The following is a 2,417-nucleotide window of genomic DNA, read 5'->3' as shown; positions in this document are numbered from 1 at the left end:
TTAATGGACAAAGTAAAAAACGAGGCACCTTAATGAATGTAAAATTTGAAATAAAAAGACATTCAATTCACTGACTTCTAAAAGAGGCTAAATATACCTCTATATATTATATTCTAAAATTGTATTGCCTACTATTGTGTCCTGGAGTCTACAATTAATTTTAAGGAAATGCATAAACAAAACTGTGAGCAACCTGCAAAGGGAAAATAATTTTCTTAACTTCATTTCATGGAAAAGACAATGAAAAATCTAGTATGGTATATACAATTTGCAGTGCAGTGGGCAGTATAGTCCTCACAGCTCAAAGATAACAGATTTATGTCTTTAATGTGGTAAAGTGAGAGAGAAACATTCCCCACCCCACCACCTTTCAAAACAACTCTGTCTTGTGTTTGTTACTATTCTTTTCTTCTTTATGTGATTAATTCCACCTGCTCTATTTGCACCTTTGTATATTCTTATTTTAAATCTTTATTTAAATCCCTATTTCACTGTATTTATTATCTAATCATTTTTATATTTTCCTTATAATTTATATCTCTTTTTTCTTTGTGTTTTGTGATATTTTAAATGCATTTTTTTCTTTTGAAATTGTTTTCCGTTTGTAGGAAACTTACAAGCATTATACAGAGTTTCTCCATAGCATGCATCAACTTTTCTATCTTAAGATTTGATACTACTATGATACATTTGAAATAACTAATAAATTAATATTGATGCATTATTATCAGCTAATGTCCGTATGTTATACAGATATCCTTAGTTTTTAACTTAGTATCTTTTTCTCTGTTTTAAGACCCATTCCAGGATAAAACACTACCTTTAATAATTGTATCTACTTAGTATCCTTTTGATTGTGACAATTTCTCGGGCTTTCCTAGTTTTGGAAGACTTTGACAGTTTTAAGGAGTACTAGTCAGATATTTTGTAGACAACCTCTCAGTTGAGGTTTTACTGATGTCCTTCTAGACTGGAAGGACTCCAGTCCTGCTAGACTGGAGTTGAAGGCTTTCAGGAGGAAGAAATATACAGAGCTAAAGAACCTTTCTCATTACATTACTGTCAAGGCTACATACTATCAATGCGATTTATGACTATTGATGTTGACTAAGATAGTATTCATCAGGATCTTTACTGTGGAGTTATTCATTTTCCACGCTTTCCAAACTATATTATTGTGGAGAAACTCGCCATGTGCACCATACACATAAGGAATGAAGAGTTATGTTCCACCTTCTTAATGTAGAGATAGCTACATAAATTTTTTCAAATACTTCTGATTGGGTGTTTTCTCTAGTCTCCCTTATTTACTAACTTATTCAATAACTTCCACCAGAATGGAGCCATAGATATTTCTTTTATATGTAATTCAATATTTATTCATTATGTTGCTCAAATTCTTCCAGCTTTGTCCCTTGGGAGGTTTCTTAATTGGATCCTGTGTCCCTGTGAAGTGTCTCCACCATGGTGCTTTTTGAGCACATCCTTACCCTCTGGCACATAGACTACTCCAGGCTCACCTTATATATTCCCTAGCCAATTCATGGGTCTGCTTTTTGTCAAGGATCCCTGCGTTTTTTAATTGGGTGATAGTTTTTTAAAAACAAGATCGGCTTATTGCTATTGAGGTGTCACTGCTTCTCAGCAGACCTTCTCAGCAAACATAGCTTGAAAGTGTGTGTGTGTGTTTAACATGGTATCACATGGTTTATTCTAGCCTCCTTGACTCTGTCTGTAACCTTTCATTCCAACAGTGAGACATCTAGCTCCCAGGAGTCAGCTTCTGCCATTCACTTACTTACTTGTTCAGTTTCAGTATTCAATTATAGTGGCTTCAGCGTTGTTAGCTTAATCTCATGAATAACAACATTGCCAAACAAACTCTGCTTGTTTACTGATCCTTTTGTGTTTAGTCTGATAATATCCACTCTTTTTCAAAATAATATAGGCAAAAACATTTTCCCTATCCCTTCCATGAAATTGTCTCACATATTATAATTACATTCTTCTGTGACAGTCGGAATTCCATCCTAGGATCCCCCAACTTCATAATTTATTCCTTAACATTTTTTCATACATTAAAGTTCACCTTGTTTTTCATATTATTCTGTGGGCTTTGACAAATGTATAGTGTCATATATCCACTATTATAGTGCCATACAGAATAGATTCACAGATCAAAAATATACTTTCTGTTTCACCTATTCAGATAGTTACAGCTATCTAGAGTGGTGCTTTGGGGAAAATTCAAATCCACTTTGAACTTTTCAGTGGTCATTAAGCTGATGGTTTGCACATTCTCCTGTTTGTCATGCTACCTGTTGGTTTTCAAAGCTCCCACAGACCTGGGGTAGTGTAAAAGGAATAATGTAAGTTAAAATGCCAAGAACCTTGTGTTTTACATTCAGTAAATGCTC

The sequence above is a fragment of the Homo sapiens genome, chromosome 13, assembly GCF_000001405.40.
Source record: "Homo sapiens chromosome 13, GRCh38.p14 Primary Assembly".
Lineage (NCBI taxonomy): Eukaryota > Metazoa > Chordata > Mammalia > Primates > Hominidae > Homo > Homo sapiens.
The sequence above is the reverse complement of the archived record's forward strand: the minus strand, read 5'-3'. Positions refer to the sequence as shown.